At 43.9% G+C, this 22632-nt stretch overlaps 2 protein-coding genes and 1 long non-coding RNA gene across 45 annotated transcripts in view; 1 reads left to right on the plus strand and 2 right to left on the minus strand.

Annotated features, from left to right (window-relative positions):
- Positions 1 to 14690, minus strand: part of ZIM2 (zinc finger imprinted 2) — a 66180-nt gene extending 51490 nt beyond the window's left edge. For 5 of the 15 annotated variants that reach the window (NR_163140.1, NR_163143.1, NM_001369771.1 and 2 more), the window contains exons 1-3: positions 14546 to 14690; positions 9982 to 10068; positions 352 to 427 (exon numbers count right to left, since the gene is read on the minus strand). The gene's annotated coding sequence lies outside the window, so the exon portion shown is untranslated. Of the gene's footprint in view, positions 1 to 351; positions 428 to 7253; positions 7385 to 9981; positions 10069 to 14545 lie in introns of all 15 variants that reach the window. The other 10 variants (NR_163141.1, NM_001369772.1, NM_001369773.1 and 7 more) reach the window with 4 other exon arrangements.
- Positions 1 to 14690, minus strand: part of PEG3 (paternally expressed 3) — a 30645-nt gene extending 15955 nt beyond the window's left edge. For 7 of the 29 annotated variants that reach the window (NM_001369734.1, NM_001369739.1, NM_001369727.1 and 4 more), the window contains exons 1-3: positions 14546 to 14690; positions 9982 to 10068; positions 352 to 427 (exon numbers count right to left, since the gene is read on the minus strand). The gene's annotated coding sequence lies outside the window, so the exon portion shown is untranslated. Of the gene's footprint in view, positions 1 to 351; positions 428 to 1097; positions 1211 to 3746; positions 3886 to 4981; positions 7385 to 7606; positions 7728 to 9981; positions 10069 to 11715; positions 11773 to 14545 lie in introns of those variants that run through there. The other 22 variants (NM_001146185.2, NM_001369735.1, NM_001146187.2 and 19 more) reach the window with 13 other exon arrangements.
- Positions 14866 to 22520, plus strand: MIMT1 (MER1 repeat containing imprinted transcript 1). The gene is made up of 2 exons (NR_024059.2): positions 14866 to 15550; positions 21916 to 22520. It is a non-coding gene; the product is annotated as an MER1 repeat containing imprinted transcript 1 (long non-coding RNA).
- The last annotated feature ends 112 nt before the right edge of the window (positions 22521 to 22632 follow it).

Genomic DNA, 22632 nt, shown 5'->3' on the forward strand with positions numbered 1-22632 from the left:
ATCCTGAAGACCTTAGCGACTGGACTATTTCCTTGCTGCCTTCCTTCATAGGACTGAGAAACCACGGAGAGCACAACATAGATAATGCTCTGCTGGGCAGAAGAATCCCAAAGCAAGGGAAGGCAACAGACCAGAGAGTCCAGGCTCCAGATGATTGGTGTGACATTTCAGACATGGTCACTCTAACCCAGGACAGGGCAAGAGCAGAGGTCTGTGCCTGTGAGGGAGACAGGCAAGGGCAGACGGCCCAACTCTGTTATGTGGCAGACAGACTCAGGAGAACACTCTGGTACCTGAAATGATACTAGCCCTCATCCTCAGGCAACAAGATACCCTCAGATATGTAATCACCTGTCTGGGAACAGGATCCTTTCTGGAACTTCAGACCAAGCAGCTATCCACAGGAACAGAGTCAAAACACAGGTATCTGCAGAAGTTTTAAAGGAAGAAATACACAGACTAAGAATATGAAAGACATGTAGAAGGAGTGTCAGAGAATTAACTCCCCAAACAACTGGGGACTCAAATAGCACTGGGGTGATGCCTTCTATACCTTCGGGGAAAGGCCATTCCCATGCTATATAAACCATGCCAGACAGGAGAAATAAAAAGCTTTCAAACTGTCTTTATGAAACCAGAACAAGTCAAAAACGCAAGACAAAGATATCACTAAGAAACCACGAACCAAAACTCATGAAAGCAGAAATAAAAGTCTTAATGCTGCTATTATTGAACATTATTCTATGCAGTTCTACTCAATTACAATAAGACAAGAAAAACACATCTGAGGCACAGAGAGATAAAACTAACATTCCCTTATGTAAGATCTATACACATATATATGCTTCTATTCTGTGAATTTCTCTCCCTAACAGACATGAATTGAAGCATAAAGTACCCTAGGTGAAAGCTATATATCAGAATGGCAGGCTTATAGAGTTCAATAGGAAACCAATAATTTTTTTAAAGAAAATACAAATAGCCCAACCTGACTCAAGAAGCAGAGAAAAATATGACCACTAGGGAAGAAATCTAAAAAGCTGAAATAATGTAAAGAGCAACTTCCCAAGTAAACTTTCTGTGAATAAAATATTTACCGTGTTATAAAAACCATTCCAGAGCACAGAAAAGAGATGGAGGACTTCCTACAATTAATTTTGTGACCACTTGAATGCCCATATGTATCTTGTCACAAGGTGGATGCCAACTTCTGTGCCAAAAAAAATAAAACACATTGCTTTTCCTCAAGAAATTCAGGATTAAACATACACAATCTTCCCTTAACATGCTCAAGATTTTCTGACCAGGCCAATAGAACTTGGCCCTTGGTCAATAGAAGCCATTGAAAAATGGAAGTTATTTTTTTAACAGAAAAACCTTAAAAAAAAAAATCAGATCTGAGCTACTTCCCACCATGGCAGAGGAAACTCATTTGGGAGTAAAGAAAGGCTTTGGAAACAAAACAATCAATCATAAAGCCGGGCAACATATGTTTGTATGCACGGGAAGAAACAAGTACACTCATATACTGCCTGTGGCAATGCAAATTTTATCAAAATTAAAAGTGCACATATCCTCCTCTCCTACAAATTCTACTTCTATGAATTTACCTCAGAGATATGTAATGACCTATGTGCAAGAATATATTCATTGAAGTGTTGTTAATAGACAAGATATGTTATGTTTGTATAATGAATTACTATGAAACCCTTTAAAATAAGGCAACTCTAAATAAATGAGTATGAAATGATCTCCAAGATAGTTAAGTGCAAAACCGGACACAGCACTGTATACAGCATTCTCAGAAACTAAAAAAAGATGTGCTTAGACAGATGATTTCTAGAAGGATATATAAGAGACTATTAATGATGACTAATCGCAATTGCCTCTGGGGAAGGGAACTAGGGGTCAGGAAAGGGAGGGCAACTTACTTTTTCATTGTATATTCTCCTTTTGTTTTTTGTTTTTATTTTTATTTTACCATGAGCATGTATTACCTAGTCAAAAAAATAAATTCAAAGTTAAAACAAAACAATAAACAAAACTACCAGTAGAGGCCTTTAGAGGTTGTGCTACTCACAGAGCAGGTGCAGGCAGCCGTAACATCTTTACACTGATGCTGAGCCCAGGCTCTCCCCGCATCGCCTCCCTATCACCATCCACAGCTTGAATCCATAGTCATACCCTAACCTGGCCATTAGCAGGTACATGAAAGTCAATTTAGAAAACCCTAAAGAATCAACTTTGAAACCTGTTAGACCCAATAAATACTTATGATATTGCAGTTGCAATCTGAATATACCCCTCAATTACACCCAACAACTGTCAGTACATAAATACAATGCCATCCCCTATCTTGGCAATTCCACTTCTGAAATCTAACTCACAGACCCATCTGCCCATGTGCACAAAGATATACAGTTCAAAAGTGTGTTCACAGAAGCACTGTTTACAACAGCAGAGAACAGGGACAGTCAAACAAATGCTCAAGCGTAATTCCAATGGCAGAGACCACTGAAAGGCCACCACGTGGGAGACAGGAAAATAAAGATGGGTCCAACTTTTCTGCACTATAAAAACCAACCAAAATAAAAACCAAGCAAAAAGGGAGGGGGAAAAGTATTTTATAACACAGATGACAGTTAATGTTTGAAATGTAAAAGGCTTTTGGCATTAGGAAAAATAGCCCAATATGAAAATAAACAACACTAATACACAGAGTTCCTAAAATTAGTGATAATAAAGGCCGGTTACTTAACATCAAAAATCAAAGAAATGTAAAATATTACAATAAACCTTTTTTGACCTGTCGAATGGGCAAATGTTTAAAAGATGAAAATTGATGCTAGTGAGGGTGTAGAGAAGCTAGCTGGTGCAGGCATGAACCACATTTCTGGATCCCATTTTGGCCACTGTTTAAAGATACTAAAAAAAACACCTACTTCTTTTGAACCAGCAATTCTCCATTTAAGAACAAATATAGCCAAGTAGATAAAATGATAATAAGAAAAAAAAGCTAAAAAGTCAGCTGCAGCTGGGCGCAGTGGCTCACGCCTGTAATCCCAGCACTTTGGGAGGCCGAGGCGGGTAGATTACCTGAGGTCAGGAGTTCGAGACCAGCCTGGCCAACGTGGTGAAACTCCATCTCTACTAAAAATACAAAAATTAGCTGGGCGTGGTGGCAGTAATCCCAGCTACTCAGGAGGCTGAGGCAGGAGAATCACTTGGACCCAGGAGGCAGAGGTTGCAGTGAGCCAAAATCGCACCACTGCGCTCCAGCCTGGGCAACAGAGCGAGACTCCATCTCAAAAAAAAAAAAAAAAAAGTCAGCTGCACACTATGGTTTAACCTTTGTATGTACAGCTAATTTCTGGTTTGTAAAAGGTAAAACCTTGAACACAAAATAATGGCAGGTAACACATTTTACACATGGAATGGTGGGAAGGGACGAGCACCACTGACAGGGAAACGTGTTCTGTTGTGTTACTGCTATGTAACCACAGTCCTAACACAAGTCACATTAGAGCAACCCAGAGCCAAAGGCAGGAAGAGGAAGTGCTGGTCAACCTTCTCCTGCAGGGCTACCTGACACAAGGTGGGCCATATGCAATGAGGTTAGCTGCCTTCCTGGCCGAGTGGCCCAACCCTTAGCCTTGGATTCAACCCGTCCTCTACTTGCTGCCCAAAGGGCAACTAGCAGTGGGGCCAGATGCTGAAATTTGCACCTGCCAGGGCCACATACTTACCTCACCCTGACTGGGGAAGACCAGATCCCACGTGACCTTCTGTGACAGCGAGTCTGGCCAATCAAAAGCATAACTGCTCTGCCCACTTGGCCCCCACTTCCCCAGGCCAGCTTCTCCATGGCAACAGCCACGCCTACCACTGAAGAAAACAGAAGATACGTGTTTGCAGGTGCTGAGAGGAAGAAAGGTCTAAAGGCTTGCCTGATGCTATCAAATGAAATATTAAAGCTGAGGAGTTAATCTGCCTGAGGATGGCCTAAACGGGCCATCAATAAAAACGTAGCTTATTAATCAGAGCTGTGCTTGAAGATGTATGAATCCAACAGAACAACAGAGCACCTGTATTTATACCCTACCGCAAGGCTCCATGGGCAAAGACTCTGTTACCTTTTTCATCTCTATATTTTTATAGGTGTTCAATAAACATTATTTGCATATAGATGCAAAAACATTTAATAAACCCAAACTAACAAAGTCCAAATAATAGCCCATGATCTTGAAAGGCTATTCCAGGAATACAAGGAGGATGTCCCATCAGGGTAAACTGTTACATAAAGGATGAAAGGGGAAGGGGAGCCCACAAGCAGTATTTCAAGTTAAAAAACATTTGCAAACTTCAACAGCCTTTCCTCATAAATTCTTAGCAGAGTAAAAGCAGGAGACCATCTAAGCATTATAAAGACTTATCTCAAATACATGCAAACAAGCATGTTATTAAACATTAAAGATGTTCCTCTGGAAGTGGGGACAAGGAAGGGACAGCTATACCACAACTACAATTTAACATGACCCTGGAAGTCCTAGCTAGTGCAACTGAAGAAAAAGAAAAGTATAAATATGGGGCAAGCATTATTTTGAACTACAAAACCTTATGAGTAAATACAGCAAGAGAAATAATTCCCATTAATAGCAAAACAAATAAATAAATCTCCATAAATAAATTTAACAAAGTTACCTGCAACTTCAAACAAAATTTCAAAAATTTACAGAAGGAACACAAAAATTAGCCGGGTGTGGTGGCATGAGCCTGTAATCCAAACTACTCAAGAGGCTGATGCAGGGGGGCCCTGGGAGGTGGAGGGGGCAGTGGGCTAAGATCATGCCCCTGCATTCCAGCCTGGGTGACAGAACTAGACTGAATCACCAAAAAAATAAAAAACAATAAAAAATAAAATAAAATAAAATAAATGACAGAAGGGCAATAAGTCTGAAATAAATACATAAAGACACGTGTATCACATTTAAAAAGCTCCTTTTTATTTTGAGGTGGGGAGTTTTGACAAACTGATAATCCAGTTCTTCTGGAAGAATAAATGTACAAGAATATCAAGACAACCCTGCATAAGGTCTATTTGGAGTGGGAGGTGGTTTGTCTGTAAAATGACTCCAACACACAAAAATAAAGTGTTTTTTCCAATATAAGGATATAAGCACTAGGACAAATATACCACTGGGACATAACAGAGTCCAGAATTCAACTGTGTAAAAGTCTATAGACACATGGGGACTTAATTTATAATAAAGGACTGGAAATGGATTCCTTATTTAAATATAAACTAGGAACTTTCTTACAGCTAAATGGCAAAGGATAACTTTAACAAAAAGGCCATGACAGGACCGCTAATACCTCAGTGTTTGGTTACTCAAGCATGCATTTCTAGAATTAGGGTTGGCCTTTGACGTTAGGAAAGGCCAATATAACCACTGCTGGCATGGAGCCTCCCCTAAGAAATTAGGTATTTCAGCTACACATCTCTGGAAGGCTAAGGCCACTAGGGCCAGTGACAAACATACTTTGTTCTAAGTAAGTTACTGCATCCAAAAATCAGCATCTCTCCTGAGTTTTCATTAAACAAGGAATGAAAACAAAGTATTTAGCAAAATGTTACATAACCATTAAGTCGTGTTGTCAAGGAATGTTACAGCTTTATTTTCTGATTATAAAAATAAAACACAGCACTACATGCAGGTATTGCAAAACATTCACCATAGAAACTGCAAGCCACACCCACTGGTTAACTTTGTTGCTATTAATAAATCTTAAAATCTATACTTATGTTGTTCTTACTGCAAATATTCCCATTTACGTGTACACAGAGAATGAGAATGTCCACACAATGGAATATAATGCAGTTTTCAGAAAGCAAAGCTATAGATGGAGACCTTGAGTGTGAACTGTTTAATAAATGGCATGATCTCATGTATGTAAAAAATAATCAAACATATGGCAGTACATACAAACTAAACTGGAAGAAAACTCACATAAACTTGTATTAAGACTATTCATAAAATAGAGGAAATCTATCAGAATAAATGATTAATAATAACAAGTCTCTGTTTCTTTTTCCATCTCTATTTAAAATGTTATTTTAACTTCGCAATCAGGAAAAAAACTGAATATAAAAATGTAAGTAAATGCAATTACTGTTTCCTAGCGTGTTTGTTTTCCTTCCTGCCCAGCTTGTTACAGCACATCAGGCCCTGCCCTTTCTCTGCTGGGTTCCCCATAATACAATCTCCCTCTGACCCTTAAGCACTCCCACCGACAGTACCCTGTGGTCACCATCTGTACCTCCCCTCTCCAGTGACTGTACCACAGAGGGGGCTAACACGCATCAAGCTCCACACCCAAATCCTCACTTCATTGACAGCTGTCTAGCCGTCATATGGCTCAAGACTGAACTCTGGCCCACAGGGCAAACCCATATCCTTCCTGGCTTGAAGGTGGGCTCCCACACACCCCTCATTACTAAAGCTTCCATATCTCCCTCTGCTCTCTCTTCAGAGCAGGACTCAGTGTTAAGTAGTAGCCAACAGCAGTTAGGGGCACACAAGGGCTAGCTGACTCTGGGCCAGGGGACAAAGAAAGGTCACCAACTTCAAGGGGAGGGAGGAGAGGCGCCAAGTGATGGGGCCACTAATAAAGGATCCCTCTACACAGCCAGGCAGGAAGGGTGCTTCTGGGAGTCTGGCGTTCTTTGATCTCCAAAGGATGTTTTCTTTACACTAGATGTCTAAACATGAAACCTCTCTGTATACAGAACAAGCCTGGCGCTGCCTGCTGCATGACAGCATTGCCATTGAAGTCTGGATGGTGGTACTGATGCCATTCTTTGGATATTTTATGACACTTTACTTCTATTCCATTAAAATGAGTAGGAAATAAAAGCATGGCTCTTACAATTAATATAACACATAATAAAGATGAAACTCATCAGGCATCCTTGCCAGAAGTCAGGGAAGATCCATGGCTTTAATCAGAGAAATGATGGGTCAGTGTTCAACTGAGCAGGGAAGAACTTAATGAAAGAACACATCATGCACTAGAAAGCGTCTGGGACCATGTGTGAGAAGAAATCCTGTGACTCCGGTTTGGCCTCAGGCTCCCACATCCCATCTGATGCAGGAGAAAATCCACCGAGTCTCCTTCAGTCCCATTTCTATTTACTTACTTTGGTCCCTCACCATGGTGCACCTAGATTCAGCCCCCTAACTCGTTCTACCTACCTCATTAAAAGGGGGCTGGAATTGAGAACTTTAAAGTCAGGAACCGAGGAGGTTACTCTCTTCGTCTCCCAGGGACAGCGTGGTGTGTGGTCTCGTCTCTCTTCTTGTTTGCTCCATTCTCCTGCCTCTCTCTGCAGACCGACATTCTCTACTTCAGCACGCACATGGAGTAAGATGCTGTCCCAGCCCAGGCCTACGTCACCTCCCAGTTTAAATGCCCGACACTCAGTGTCCCTTCATCCAAATTCTCAGTATTAAAGTGCATGCTACAGCCTGATTCCTTCTAGGGCAGTGGTTCTCAAACTCAGATGTGCAGAAGAGTTGCCTAGGGTGCTTATGAAATACGGAGCTACCTTTCCAGGTGGGATGACTCAGGAGGTCTGTGGTTCCCCAGGAAAGAAGCATTCCTACAATCACTCCAGGAGCTGTTCTTTGAGAACCACTGCTCTAAGGTATCCAGTCTGGTCCAATCACCTATGAATAAGGTACATATGGGACATAGGGACTTTAGAGGGAAAATTTTATATAGGAGCAAGGAGTAAATGACCACCAACTCCATCTCACAGGCCACAACCTCCACCCTCTGGTCTGTTGGCTGGCTTCTCTCAGATAATCTCAACATCCTGGGCTTATTTCTACCACATTAAGCTTAGCACTTACCACACTGCAGCAAAATCTCCTTGTTGTTGTCCATCCTTGAGAGATTTCCCCAAAAGTTTAGAAAGAGAGGAAATAATATCTAAGAGTTCAGTCTTATGACCAGCACAAAATGGTTCAAGACAAATAAAGCTACTTTAAAGAGACAAAATGTCTTCCAGAACAGTATGAGTTATTTGACTATATTCTAATAACAATAATTGGCTCATCTGATTTTTTTAAGGGGAGGGAGTACTAAAAAGTAGGCCACAAAGCTTGGTCCATCCAACCATCTACAGGATAGTGAACAACTCTCATCAGACCTAACTTGAATGGAGTTTGGGGAGGACAAGGGTGTTAGATAAGGGGCTTCCGATATCTTGGTAACCCTAAGCAAGGGTTTCACTGTGACAACATGGCTGTACCAGGCTATGTGACAAACCAGCGCTATTAAAGCTCACCCACATCCTCTTGGTTCTGATTCCGTACTCACCAAGCAACCTTCTCATTATGGTTGTGTTTCCCATGTAGGTCTGCCTACAGGGAGAGAATTTGCTGATCATACACACTGCTGAGTACTTGGGTCCCTGCTATTGTACTCCTACCATGAATTAATAAACCAGAATTGTGGGAACAGGAACATCCTATTTCAAGTCACATGTCAGTACGGTTTTAAGTCTCCTGAGCTTAGTTAAATGTGGATCTACCAACATGAGCCCTCGGGCAAAGGAGGTTTCCAAGTCTCCACAGGGTTAAGCACCATAATGCATATCTTGAGCACTGAGGCCAGGAATACACCAACCCATCCCAAGGGCTCACCTGGTCATGTCAGCTTCTCCCTAAGCAGTATTCCACCACCACCATAGCCACCTATCTTGGTAAACACATTCTTACTCTTCTTGTGATGGGAGTTTCCATTCAGTAGACACTGAGGCCAGGGATTATGTCATTCACTTCTGGAGACTCTAAGCCTGGCATGATCCTGTCCTGGATCAGGCCCAGTATCAATGCTTGCTAACAAATGAACAAACAGACAACCTCTAGCTATGTGCTTGCTTCCCCACATCATGTGACTCACTGTGCCTCCTCTGAATCAGTCAGCAGGCCATGAACAGAGAAAGTGAGGAGTCTCCCTCCTCAACACCTCTCAAATAATCTACCCACTTCACTCCTCCCTGTGATATGACCACAAACCAAGCCACCATCTCTCACCCAGGCCCAAGTTGGTCTCCCCACACCCACTGCGTCCACCCTCCCCTTCTGCACCCTGAAACCAGATGATCTTTTTAAAACCACAAATCTGATTATCATGATACTCCCATGGTTAAAAGCACTTCCCGCTGCACTTAAGGTCAAGCCCAGTTACTCACCACAGATTACAAGTCTTTTCACAATGAAACCACAACTTACCTTCTTCCTACCTCAATCAGATGCCACTCAACGATTCCCTTGCTCTAGGAATCCTGGATTTTCAGCTCCTCTCTCTGCATCTCTCAACAACAACCCTATCCCCTCTGCTGAGACTACTCTCCCCATGACACACACCATTCACACTCCTTCAGGGCTCAGCTTTAATGTTCTTTACCATCTCAGGGAGGCCCCTATGTGGCCTCTCTAAGATTAAGTCAGCTGTTGCTAGCAGATGTTCTCTTGCAAAAGTATAAATCAAACAATTATGTTTTCCACAGCTTTAATTCCCAAATAGACTAAAAACTCTTTGAAAACACTTCCTTTCCCCCATTGGGGCTATGTCCCAGTACCTGGCACAAAGTACACACTTGATCAATATTCACAAATGAGTGGATGAATCTCTCATGCTTCTTTAATCACCAGGCAAGAGAAAAAGAGTAGCCCTGAAGGAGTAGCTGAGTATGAGAAAAAGAGGGAGGATACTGAAATGGATGGTGTGAGGCCAAGGAGAATTTTTAGAGAATACACAATCCACCAGAAGAGTCTGGGTGTTCTCAGAGGGCACAAATGGTGCTGGGGTGGCTATGTGGAACACATATGCAGTAGGAAAGTGTCAGAGTAAGGAAGTGCGGTGGTCACTCCAAAGATGAATGTGGCACTGTGAGGAGGAAATTCAACTCACCTGGACCCAGCCACCTAGCGTTTGGACCTAGTCCCTCTTCCTCTCGCCAGTCGTCTCCAAGAAGGACGGAAGATCAAGAAGGCAAAGCTGTAGAGGAAAAGAAAATGTGAGACGCCAAGTTTATTTTGCAGTTACTGGGTTCCTCAGGGGGGAACAATACCACAACAGTTCCACATTTATCTTCTATGATGGCACAGGTCAAATGAGACCATGAAAAGCATCCCATCCAGGATGAATGGCCACGGGTATAGCTCCCTTAGACCACCTCACACCCTGGGATGTACTCATAGACTTTCTCCAACAAGGTTACATCAAAGGCATTCAAGTCAATTTCTGGGGTGTCTTACAACCTTCTCTGGGGCTCTAGATTAAGGAATCAATTCAAGAACCCCATTTTTGGCGCTGGCCGTCCCCATGTTAGGACCGCTATCCTATCGTTATTATTAGGTAATAGTACCCTTTATCACGTAAAATATTTTAGGGTTTATCAACATGTTCTCAGTGGACTAATAGGACATAGTCCAAGTCCCACTGCACCTCAGAGTATGTGTTCAATCAATTAGAGGTCCCTGGGGGAAGGACCTTCATGATTATGAGACTGGTTTATATTCCAAGAGTCAGGTGGGCATATTTTGGTGAGGTTAAAGAGCTTATTAAAAACTATTCAAAGGATGGGCGCAGTGACTCGCGCCTGTAATCCCAGCACTTTGGGAGGCCAAGGCGGGCAGATCACCTGAGGTCAGGAGTTCGAGACCACCCTGGCCAAAATGGCGAAACCCCTGGTCTACTAAAAATATAAAATTAGATGGGCATGGTGGCGCGCGCCTGTATTCCCAGCTACTCTGAAGAGGCTGGGGTGGGAGAATCACTTGAACCCGGGAGGCAGAGGCTGCAGTGAGCCAAGATCACGCCACCACACTCCAGCCTGGGTGAGAGGGCCAGACTCTGTCTCAAAAAAAAAAAAAAAAAAAAAAAAAAAAAAAAAATTATGACAGGCTAGGAAGGAAGCGTCATATGTGTCACTTTCCCTACCTCAAACAAAACAAAAGGGCTGACTTAAGATCTCCTTGGGTGGAGCCAGGGCTAGGTAAGTGAGCTCTAGGACTCCGTAGGAGAGCTAGGGCTGGGAGGGCCACACCCAAACGAACTAAGCTTTGGAAGCTGGGCAGCCCTCTAGCGGCTCTGCTCATGAACAGTTTCTCCAGAGGCCCCACCCTACCTATGGGGCAGCCCCTTTAAACACACCCCCACCTGCCCAGGGCAGCCTCCTAGTTCCCATGCACTGCCCCTCTCAGGACCACCCGCAGCCCTGAATTTTTCCACCTCCAGCTGTACGATTTTGAGTGAAAATCCTTCACCAACAGAGTCTCCAAATCACCTAGACCCCAAATCTTACACCCACAGCCCACTTCCTCCATTTTCTCACTTAAAATCCCACCTTTCCCCAAATCTCTTAAAACGTCTGAGTTTGGCCTTGGATTCCACTTTTCTGCTCACTGACCCAAGGCTGCACAGCTGAACCCGCCCGCTTCCCGAGGCCTGGCTTTGGCGCCCCCTGGAGGAAGTAAGGCGCCACCAGCCATGAGGGCACGCTGCCCAAGATAGCGGGGGTAGGGCTCAGCTGGCACGCCAGTGCAGCCCGCGGTCACTCAGGAAGGCTCCAGTGCAGGCCCCACCCATGAACCGGCAAAGATGGCACAGAATGAATGAACACGGCTCTACGGCCCTGCCTACCTTGAAATCCCCTCAGCCCCCTCCAACAGCCCTGCTGTCACTCAAGATGGCGCCTGCGCAGTACACCTCTGCTGCCCCCGCCACCGGCCAACACACGTGGTACTAGGATGGACGGGGCTCACGCTCACTCCTACAGCGCAGCTGTCATTCAGTAATGGTGCCTCCGCACTGCACCCGCCACATTGAATGCCGGCTGCTCTATCAGACAAGACACACATGCTATGGCCCCCCTCAGTCACTCAAGACAAAGCAGACCCTCCCTCAGAACCGCACCTGCAGCCAGCCCAGCTGTCATTCAGGATGGCACCTGCACAGTACACCGTGGCTGCCACCTAATGGCCAGCAAAGATGATGCCACAGAGTGGGCGGGGCCATGCAGACCCCGTCAGTCACTCAGTCCTCTGCACCCGGCCCTACAGCCAACCCAGCAGTCATTCAAACCAGTGCCTGTGTAACTGCCCTCACGTGCCCCATTACAGCCAAAGATTGCACCACAGTGGACCAGGCTCGGCAGCCCCTAGTCACTGAGAAAGCCCTCCCTCATGCCCGCCCCTGGGGCCGACCCAGGTGTCACTCAAGATGGCGCCTGCGCAATCAACCTCGGGCGCCACCCTGTGGCTAGCACAGACAGTACCGTAGAGGCGGTGAGGGGCAGTGGAGGTGAGGGTGCTCTCAGCCCTATCAGTCCCGAGGAACGGTCCCGGGCCCCAGCCCTTAGCCCCGCCAGCAGGGCGCCTGCACAACCCGCCTCGCAGCTCCCCCACTAAGCCGCCCCCATACACAAGATGGAACCACACGCATCCTGTGGTGAACAAAGTCTTGGTCAGGCAACAACAGGGGAAGGGGTGAGCCTCTGCCACCGTTAGCCAAAAACACAGCGAGCGCGGTGATAACCCGTCACCCTGTCCTTAAGCATAAATGGCTCCGCGGCCGCTAAGGCAAACTCTTTAGGCACGTCTCCCGGCTCCCCCAGATGCGGGGACTGAGCCAGTCCCACTGGCAAAACAGCCTGGCGACCAGCACACACAGCCCAAGGAGCGCGGCACTCCACAGCTTTCCATCACCGCAAGGCAGGCAAGCACAGCAACCGTGGCCCCGCCCCTCCCTGTGGACAACCCCACACCTATGCGGCAAACCGCAGCCGCCCCGATCAAAGATGGCACCCAGGTGGGCGGGGCTTGAACAGACCGTCCCGCCCATGCCACCTGCAGCCACTTCAGCCTTGCCCCGCCGCATCTGCCGCCAACCAATCCGGGCAACGCCTGCGCGGCAAACCTCAGCTGCCCCCATCAAAGATGGCGCCCAGGCGGGCGGGCCTTGTCTCGCCCAACCAACTAGGACAGCGCCTGCGCAGCAAATCTCAAGCACTTTCATTAAAGATGGCGCCCAGGTGGGTGGGGCTTGAACAAACCACTAGGTCCAATGCCACCCTGTCACTTCAGCCTTGCCCCGCCCCATCTGCCACCAACCAACCAGGACAGCACCTGCGCAGCAAACTCCAGCAGCCCCCATCAAACATGGCATCTAGGTGGGCGGGGCCTGAGCAGATCGTCATATCCAATGCTACACAGTCACTTCAGCCTTGCCCCGCCCCCTCTGCTACCAACCAACCAGGGCAGCACCTGCACAGCAAACCTCAGCAGCCCCCATCAAACATGGCGTCCAAGCGGGCAGGGCCTGAACAGATCGTCACATCTAATGCTACCCAGTCACTTCAGCCTTGCCCCGCCCCATATGCCACCAACCAACCAGGGGAGCACCTGCGCAGCAAACCTCAGCAGCCCCCATCAAACATGGCGTCAAAGCGGGCGGGGCCTGAGTGGATAGTTACCCAATCACTTCAGCCTTGCCCCGCCCCACTTGCCGCCAATCAACTAGAACAGCGCCTACTCGGCAAACCTCAGCCACCCTCATAAAAGATGGCACCCAATGGGTGGGGCTGGAACAGACCATTACATCCAATGCAACCCACAGTCATTCAGCTTTGCCTCGCCCCATCTGCCACCAATCAACCAGAACAGCGCCTGCGCGGCAAACCTCAGCCACCCTCATAAAAGATGGCACCCAGTGGGTGGGGCTTGAGCAGACGATTACGTCCAATGCCACCCAGTCACTTGAGCCTTGCCCCGCCCCATCTGCCGCCAACCAACCAAGGCAGCTCCTGCGCAGCAAGCCTCAGCCGCCCTTATTTAAGATACCGCCCGAGAGGGCGGGGAAAGAAAACCCCTACAGGCAGGACAGCCCTTCGCCCCTCCCACCACCACTGCGGCAAACAAGCCCCGCCCCCAGAGGGTAGCCGGGCACGCCGGCGCCGCGAGGCCGATGGCACCCCGCAGGAAGGGGCATTTTCGCAGCCCCCAGACCCAGCCCAGGAGGCCCAGGGCTCCCGAGAGCCGCATTCCGCCGTGGCAACAGGGATAGCATTGGTGTCGACCTTGCTGGACTTGCCGTGGCAGAGCCCCCGGCTGTCTGCCCTAATGCCCCCGGTTTGCTGCGGTGGCCCCCGGCCAGTCAGAAAGGCGCGGAGACCCTGCAGCAGCCCCTCAGACCCCGGACTGCAAGATGGCGGCACCAACGCAGCAGCCCGGGCTGCGCCCACCCCTGCCCCAAAAAGGCACCAACCATCCACAGCCTGGCCGCCACTGTGCCCACTCTCGGACTGGGCAGCGGGCGGCCAAGTACCATGTCCGCCAGCCCGCCCTGCCACAAGGGTCGCTGGCTTGCCGCGGGGTCTTGGGCTTGCGGCAAGACGGCCACTCTGGCCCAGAGCCGTCGCGACACCAAGGTCCCGCGGGCAGGAGGCGCGCGGGGCGGCCGAAGGCGCACTCACCTCACCTCAGTGCTGCGCAGCCTCGGGCACGAACAGCCGCCTAGCGCACCCTCATGGCGCCCGGCGCCCGGCGGCGCCACCAGCCCAGGGTGGACATCTCCCGCGCCTCCCAAACCTCTCCTCCCGCAGCTGCCCAGACTTCTGCACCGAGGTGCAGCTCGACGCCTCCTTGTCAGGGCTTCTCCGCAGAGGCGGGGCTTCTGTGCTAGCCAATCAGCAGCCTCACCGCCCTCTCCGGGCCCCCTCACCACAGCCCTGTGACGTGCCAATCAGGCTGCGGTTGCCACAGCAACAGTTTGGCGCGAAGGCTGGGGGCTGACGTCAGGGAGTGGCCGTGAGGGACCCCAAAGCCAGGTCTGGAAAAGGGGGGTGGGTTGGGTGGTGGGGGTGCAGCCCCCAAAGAAATGGGGGTCGAAATGGAGGAAACCCCACTGAGATGCTCAAATGTAAAACCGCTGAAGAATAAAGGGACAAATGTACACATCTGTCTAAATGAAAAAAATGAAAATCCTGGCCGCAAAAACACATACATTAACGTCTAAAGACCTGCAGGGAAGACAAGACTTTTCCGCCTGGGACACATGAAAGACATCGAGCTAATTTCCTTAATAAATGAAGAGCTCTTGGAAACCAACGAGATAAAGACCAAACCAAGACAGAAAAATGGGCAAAAGGGATAAAACTGGCAATTCGCAAGAAAATCCAAACGGCTGGCCGACCTGCGAAGGAAACATCACGACCTGTTTGCATAAAGAAATGCAAACCTGAAACACCGGGCACGTGCGGTTTAGGGGAGCGGGCAGTCTCACACACTACTGAGTTGTTTCCCAGCAGCCGTCAATACAGACCTTCCACTGCGTAAGCCCACTGCATTGCCATTTAATAAAACAGCAAGAAAATGAGAGAGAAAAATAATGAGGTAGAATTGTATGGGATTATTAAGGATTGAATTCTCAGTAGATTTAGTGAAATATACAAGTTACTGAAGTTTGTAGAAACGAACTGGTAAGTGTTTTCTCATTTATTTGTTTTTTAAGGATAAACCCAAATATAGGTAAAACTGTTGGAAAGGTAGGCAAGAAATTGTTGATGAGTTACTTCTAGGGACAAGGAATGTGGGGTGGAAGAGGGATTTTTCCCTTCTGCCATCCATACTGTGAATTTCCTTGGCAGAAATACGTATTTCTTCTCTGGCAGTAAAATCAATGAATTACTAAAAGTTCACTAATGTACTCTTTGGTCCAACTATTCCACTCTCAAGGAACTAAAAAAGCAAAGGAAATACAGGGATATACAGAAGATTCTATACAGGGATATTCACGGAGCATCATTTTTATCACCAAAAATGTGCTCCACAGAAAAGAATTAAACTGTATTCTGGTAAATTTACACAGCGCGATTTTAACTGACTAATAAAAATGCTGTATGATTTTAACTTTAAAGGAAAAAATCTGTAAGATGTGGTTAATTACCAAAAGGTGTTTACCTAAGGAGCACACAGACTTTAATACCCCAAATTAAACTTTATATTATACTCAAGGAGTTATCAGTGGTTGCTTGCTACACTGAGAAGCTGCTTTATGTGTTTTAGACTCCCTAGACCATCAACAGTCTCTTTTTGCCCAGCAGTGCCACATAAACATAATATACGAATGAAAACACTGTGCTTCTTATGAAAATACACGTTCAAAACAAATTCCCCAGCAGGAATATTGAAGGTGAATGTGGTAGTACCCTGACTTAGGTTACAGATTTTCAAATCTGGCTACTCTCATTAGGCTCACCTGGAGAGCTGTTAAACAATGCAGATTCCCAGTGTCCCACAGAGATCTTTGTTTTTCAGGTTCCCAAGGGATCCTAATGTCTAGTTAAGGTTTTGTAGGTGATTTTAATATATTTTAAAGACTCCATCATCCCCCTGTCTCCTCAAAGGCCTCTATCTGCAATACCAGTTTCTCTCCGGATCCTGAATCATTAATTTCCACAAGACACCACATGCTCTCAGAGCTCCTGCAGTTACCACCCCCTTGCTCAGCACCTCTTGGCCCTGAAAATGCCTCTTGATAGAGCAGTCTACTGTCACTAACTCAATGGTTTTACCATACATTCTCTCCTGCTAACATATATGCCCCACAGGCTTCCATCCCTTCCAAACCCACTGAAATTGCTTGACAATTTCAGCAATTCCTTATGTGGCCAAGAAACTTGCTCTTAATCTCACTTTATCTCTCAGTAATATTCAACATCCTCATTAAAACAAGCAAACAAAAACAAAATCCCATGCATGCTATCTTATTTTTGGTGACAATTACATGGTCCTGGTTTCCGCTCCCCTGCCATCAGTGGTCTCTTCTCAGTCATAAATGGCTTCTGCTCTGCTTGCCATCTACACGCTGGAGGGTCTTGCCTCAGAACTTAGTCACTAGTCTTCTCCATCAATGTCCACTCCCTAGGTAACAACCCTTCCCTCCTCACCTAGTCACATAATTTAAATGCCACCTACATGCCAATGGCTCCCAAATTCCAATCCTCTGCCACAGGACTGTCCACAAAAGCGCAGTCTTTTGCTTAGAAACTGACTGCTCCCCTTGGATGTCTATCAGGCAACTCAAAGCATTTTAAACAAATATTAATTTCCCCTTTCCCCATTTCTATAAACAGTACCAGTTGCTGAAGCCAAAAAACAAAAACAAAAAACGACAAAAAAAACCCTCACGATTGTTCTCGTTCCTTTTTTCCTTACCACCAACATCCAATTTATCAGCAAGTCTTGCTGACCCTATCTAAGGCAAATCCCAAATTTGTCCCATGATTTCCCTTTCCATGGTAGTCCTAAGAAACATTATCTTCCTACAAAAACCCTTCTTCCATTCCAAACCCTTCCTCCAGTATTCTCCACACAGTATTAAGGGTGATCTTGCAAAGCAAAAAAGATGTCAATGTTCCAGCTTGAATGACCTCCTGCCCCCATCCCAATTGCATTTAAAGTCCAAAAGCCCAAAATTAGAAGAGCCAACATTATCTTTTGTCTTAGAGGACAATTAAATATAGGTGTTGTAAAATTTCACAATCTCTTCCTTCAATGCCTAATTTAAGAAATTCTTCCCCACACTGATGTCATAAAGATATTCAAATAGCTGTGCATTTTAGTTTTCTTTATGGTTATTTTTGCCTATGTTCTGTGTTAGGGATCTAATTTTCCCCTGACTTTGTATCATATTTCTCTATATGAGCAGGTCTGTGCTTGAACTCTCTTGTTGGTCCCCTGATCCATTTCTCTATCTCTGTGCATTAACGCACCATATTATTACAGCTTTACAGTATCTTGGTATTTGAAAGGGCGACGGCCCTACCTTGTTTTTCAAAAGTGTCTGGCCCTACCTTGTCTTTCAAAATTATCTGACTCTTAGCCCACCATCTTTCAAATAATTTTTAGAAGCAGCTTTTAAAGTTTGATGAACTATCCTATTGAGATTCTGACATTTTATTAAATCCACACAGCAATTTAGAGAAATTGAAAACATTATATCAAGATCTCTCATCTTTGACCACTGTCTATATCTCTTACGGCTGTCAATGATACACTGTAATTTTTTTTCCCTATAAAGGCCTTATTTGACTTTAGGAGGTCCTTTTTTTCCCCCATTAATTGTATAATTGGTTATTTAATAGTTTCAGAATTACAAAAAAGTTGCAAAGATAGTACAAAACTTCCCCACCCTGTTTTCCCTGATGTTAATACCTTACATAACCTTGCTACTTTGTCAAAAAGAAGAGATAATATTAACACTAAACAAACTACAGACTTTGTTTTGATTTCACCCATTTTTCCATTACTATCTTCCTTCTGTTCCAGGATCTCATCCCAGACACAGCATTACATTTAGTGATTACATCTCCTTAGGCTCCCCAAGGCTGTGACAGCTTCTCAGTATTTTGTAGAATACTCAGTTTGTTTGATATTTTCTCACAACTTGATTTGGGTTATGAATTTTTGAGAAGAGTATCTGCTATTGCCTTTTTTTTTTTTTTTTTTTTTTTTTGAGACAGAGTCCGGCTGTGTCGCCCAGGCTGGCGATGCAATGGCTCAATCTCAGCTCACTGCAACCTCCACCTCCCGGGTTCAAGCAATTCTCCTCCCTCAGCCTCCTGGGTAGCTGGGATTACAATCATTTGCCATCATGCCCAGCTAATTTTTGTATTTTTAGTAGCGATGGAGTTTCACCATGTTGGCCAGGCTGGTCTCGAACTCCTGACCTTGTGATCAGCATACCCTGGTCTCCCAAAGTGCTGGGATTACACCGCACCCGGCCTGCTATTGCTTTTTATACGCTGACTTTGGATCCAGTGAACTTGTTGACTTTTTTTTTCTACACAAAAAAAAGTTCCTGTATTTTTAAAATGTTAACATGCTAATTAATGACTTCATTTTTACTTTCGGAGTTTCACCATGTTGGCCAGGCTGGTCTCGAACTCCTGACCTTGTGATCAGCATACCCTGGTCTCCCAAAGTGCTGGGATTACACTGCACCCGGCCTGCTATTGCTTTTTATACGCTGACTTTGGATCCAGTGAACTTGTTGACTTTTTTTTCTACAGAAAAAAATGTTCCTGTATTTTTAAAATATTAACATGCTAATTAATGACTTCATTTTTACTCTCATTGACAATCATACCTCACTTCATTAACATAATGCATTGGCTAGGACTTCTGGGGTGATATTGAACAAGTCTTGTCCTATATTTGAAAGGGGATACTCTTATCTTTACTATGAAAGGGGATACTCTTATCTTTACTATGAAGTAAAAACATTCACTGCAGGCTTGTTTTGTACAGCCTCTTTATTGGGGGTTAAGGAAATTGCCTTAAGTTCTAGTTTTTTAAAAAAATTTATCATAAGTTTAATTTTATATAATGACTTCTCTGCATTCATTGGGAAGATTGTATTATTTAACATCATCTGATGATTGGTGAATAAAGCAGGTTTTATGTTGAAAACTGTATTCCTAAACCCTGCTTGATCATGATTATGTGTATCTGATTCGTATACACATGCAGCTGGGTACTACTGAGTTATACTTTTTTATTACACTATCCTTGTCTGGTTTTGCTACCAAGGTTGTAACAGCCTTATAGAATGATTTGGATTGTTATCTCACTTCTTATATTCTCTACCATAGTTTATAAACTCCTCTCCATTGGAAATTATGTCCCTTTTTCTATTACTAATATTATTAATCTCTCCATGTTTCTCCATCAGTTTTGCTAAAGATTTGACAGTTTTGTCTTTTTAAAATGACTTGATTTTGTTGACCATATTCTTCCTTCTTTTCCATGTAATTAATTTCTGTTCTTTTTGTAGTTCTTTCTTGTTCAGTTCTGTATTTCATTGTTTCCATTAGATTTCCTCTTTGCGACATGAAGAAACGTCTTTAGGGGTCAAAGATCTTGGGGAAAAAAACTATCTTTTGAATACAGATTTCCAAATTAATTGCATTATACTCATATAGCATGGCCCATATGCTACTATTTCACATTTGTCAAAGCATCCTTGGTGATCTTAAGATATGGTTAATTTTAATTGTTCAATATATTAGAAAAGAATGAGTATTGTCTAATTGTTAGGTATCAATTTCTATTTATGTTCATAGGATCAACTTGTTAACTGTGTTCAGATTTTTAGTATTCTTGGTAATTTTTTGTCTGCCTGATCTATCTGTTCTAGATATAATAAAATCTCCCAATATTCCTATGGTTTTATCCACCACTCCTTATAATTAATAGTTTTTGCTTTATATATATATATTTCAAGGCTATGTTTTTAGGTGCAAACAAGGCCATGACTCTTTGTTGAGAAACACAGGGAAGTTAATCTGCTTACATTTTTAATTATTGATGTATTTGTTTAATATGCTTTTGGTCATTTATTTTCTCCTTTCCTGCATTCTACTAAATTGATCAAGTTTTCTTTAGTCCCCTTTCTTCCTTCTGCTTATTTGGGAGGTTTCAATTATATTTATTACTTCACTGTCTATCTTTAAGTTCCTAATTTCTACATAAGCATATATTTTTTTAACAGACTATAAAGTACTAAAGCAAACATGTTGGCACACGTTAGCAATTCACTGGATTTCCCATTCCCACCTTCATTAATATTGTCTAGAATTTTAATTATACCTGTTTTAAACAAATGAAAACATTTTTACAGTCAATGATTAATTATATTTACTGGTATTTCAAGAATTTATTCACTCATTCTTGTTTCTTGAATCTCACTCCTCGTCCCTCGAGGTTTACTTTTTCTCATTGCAATAAATCCTTAAATGTGTCTTTAAATAAGTGTATAAGGTAGTCTATTTGTATTTCTAAAAATGTCTTTATGAGACATTTTTGAATGACATTTTAGCCAGGTATGGAATTCTTAGGTAACCTTTATCTTCTCTCCTTATTTTGAAGATATTATTCCATTGTCTTCTAACAAACCTGATGAGGAGGTCTGCATCAGCGTAATGTTCCTTTCTAATAACGTCTAGTTTTTCCCGCGGTAGCTTTCAGAATAGATGTTATGTATAGATTTTTGTTTATCCTGCTCAGGATTGATGTGACCAATGAAGGTCTTTCTTCCATTCTGGAGAATTCTTGGGCCAGTGTTTCTTTAAATAGAACTTTTCTGCCATTCCATTTCTACTCTTTTCAACCTATAAAGTATAATGACCCGTCTTAATCCATCCTCCATTTGTCTCAATCTTTCTGTTTTTCATACTGTTTTCTGTGCTTTCTGAGTAACTTCTCTTTTTAACTGCATCTGGTAATAGCATTTCCCTAGATGTTTTAAATACAGTAACTATGTTTTCTGTTCTATGATTTCCAATTGGTACTTTTTTTATATCTACCTTTCTCAAATGGATGAACATTTTATGGACACTATTCTTTATTTCTTCAAAAATCGTAAAGTCACACTAACACTATTTGAATTGCATTTTGAAAGGACTGAATTCATGTCTTGATTGCTAGTTTTGCTGTCTTGTTCATTTTAAGATTTCCTAACTTTAACCCAGTGCTTTGCAAGTTTAGTTTCTAAGTGTTTTTCCTATGGGTTATCTTTTCCCCTCCTCTCTGAACTTTTCTTCCCTCCATGTCTTTTTGGCTGTCTCTACCTCACCCATGAGAAGCACAGTCCAGAGACAATCTTGTATTGTCAACTGGGGATTTTGTGCCATGTGACAAAAGGGGTGTATTAGTCACTGAGCAAGATTAAAGCTTAGGCTGGGTCCTCTCTGCATGGCTTTGTTTTTTCACCCCCTGCCACCACTCGTAAGTAAAAAACCTGGGTATCCATCACTGTTTGTTGTTGTTGTTGTTTTTCCAGGCTCCTTTTATGTCAGGAGAGTCCAAATCCAGTACCTGTTTGCCACAATGAGCCTGGGACCTCAACATGCATGGAGTGCTTCCGGACCTCATTACCCAAGAGCAGTCAGATTTTTAATTTCCTCTGCCTTTTTCAAGATCATTAGTTCAGAAGGTTTATGTTTTCAATTCCACATATCCTTGCATTTTTCTTTCAAGTTTTGACCCATATGGATATCTTAAATATTCCTATTATTGCAAGTTTATATTAAAAGGAGGTTAAATTGTGAACTCACAAACTCATAGCATCATAGCACCATCTCAATCAAAAGTATTATCTTCTGTGAACTACAACAGTTTTCACTTCTTTCGCAAGTGTGGAGTGACGTTTGCCTGAGGCTGTATGACCTGTGATATCATGACAAATTGAAGGCCAAAGCAGATGCGAATCCAGCTGTTTTCTATTAAGTCAAATGCCAAGGAGATTTACAAAGATGTAAAATAATGCGCCTCTTCTCAATAACCTTTGGTTTTGAAAATTGTTATTTTTCATAAAAAATGTTGCTTCCATTAACCTGTAATAGGTTTACTACCATTATTTTAAATAAAATACACATTTCAAATGGCTTAATTTTTTCTTAAGATATAATTGATAAGTAAAAATTGTATATATAGTGTACAACATGGTGTTTCAATATACATATACATTGTAAAAGGATATCAAGCTAATTAACATATC

This window comes from Homo sapiens, chromosome 19, assembly GCF_000001405.40.
Source record: "Homo sapiens chromosome 19, GRCh38.p14 Primary Assembly".
In the NCBI taxonomy this organism is placed as follows: Eukaryota; Metazoa; Chordata; class Mammalia; order Primates; family Hominidae; genus Homo; species Homo sapiens.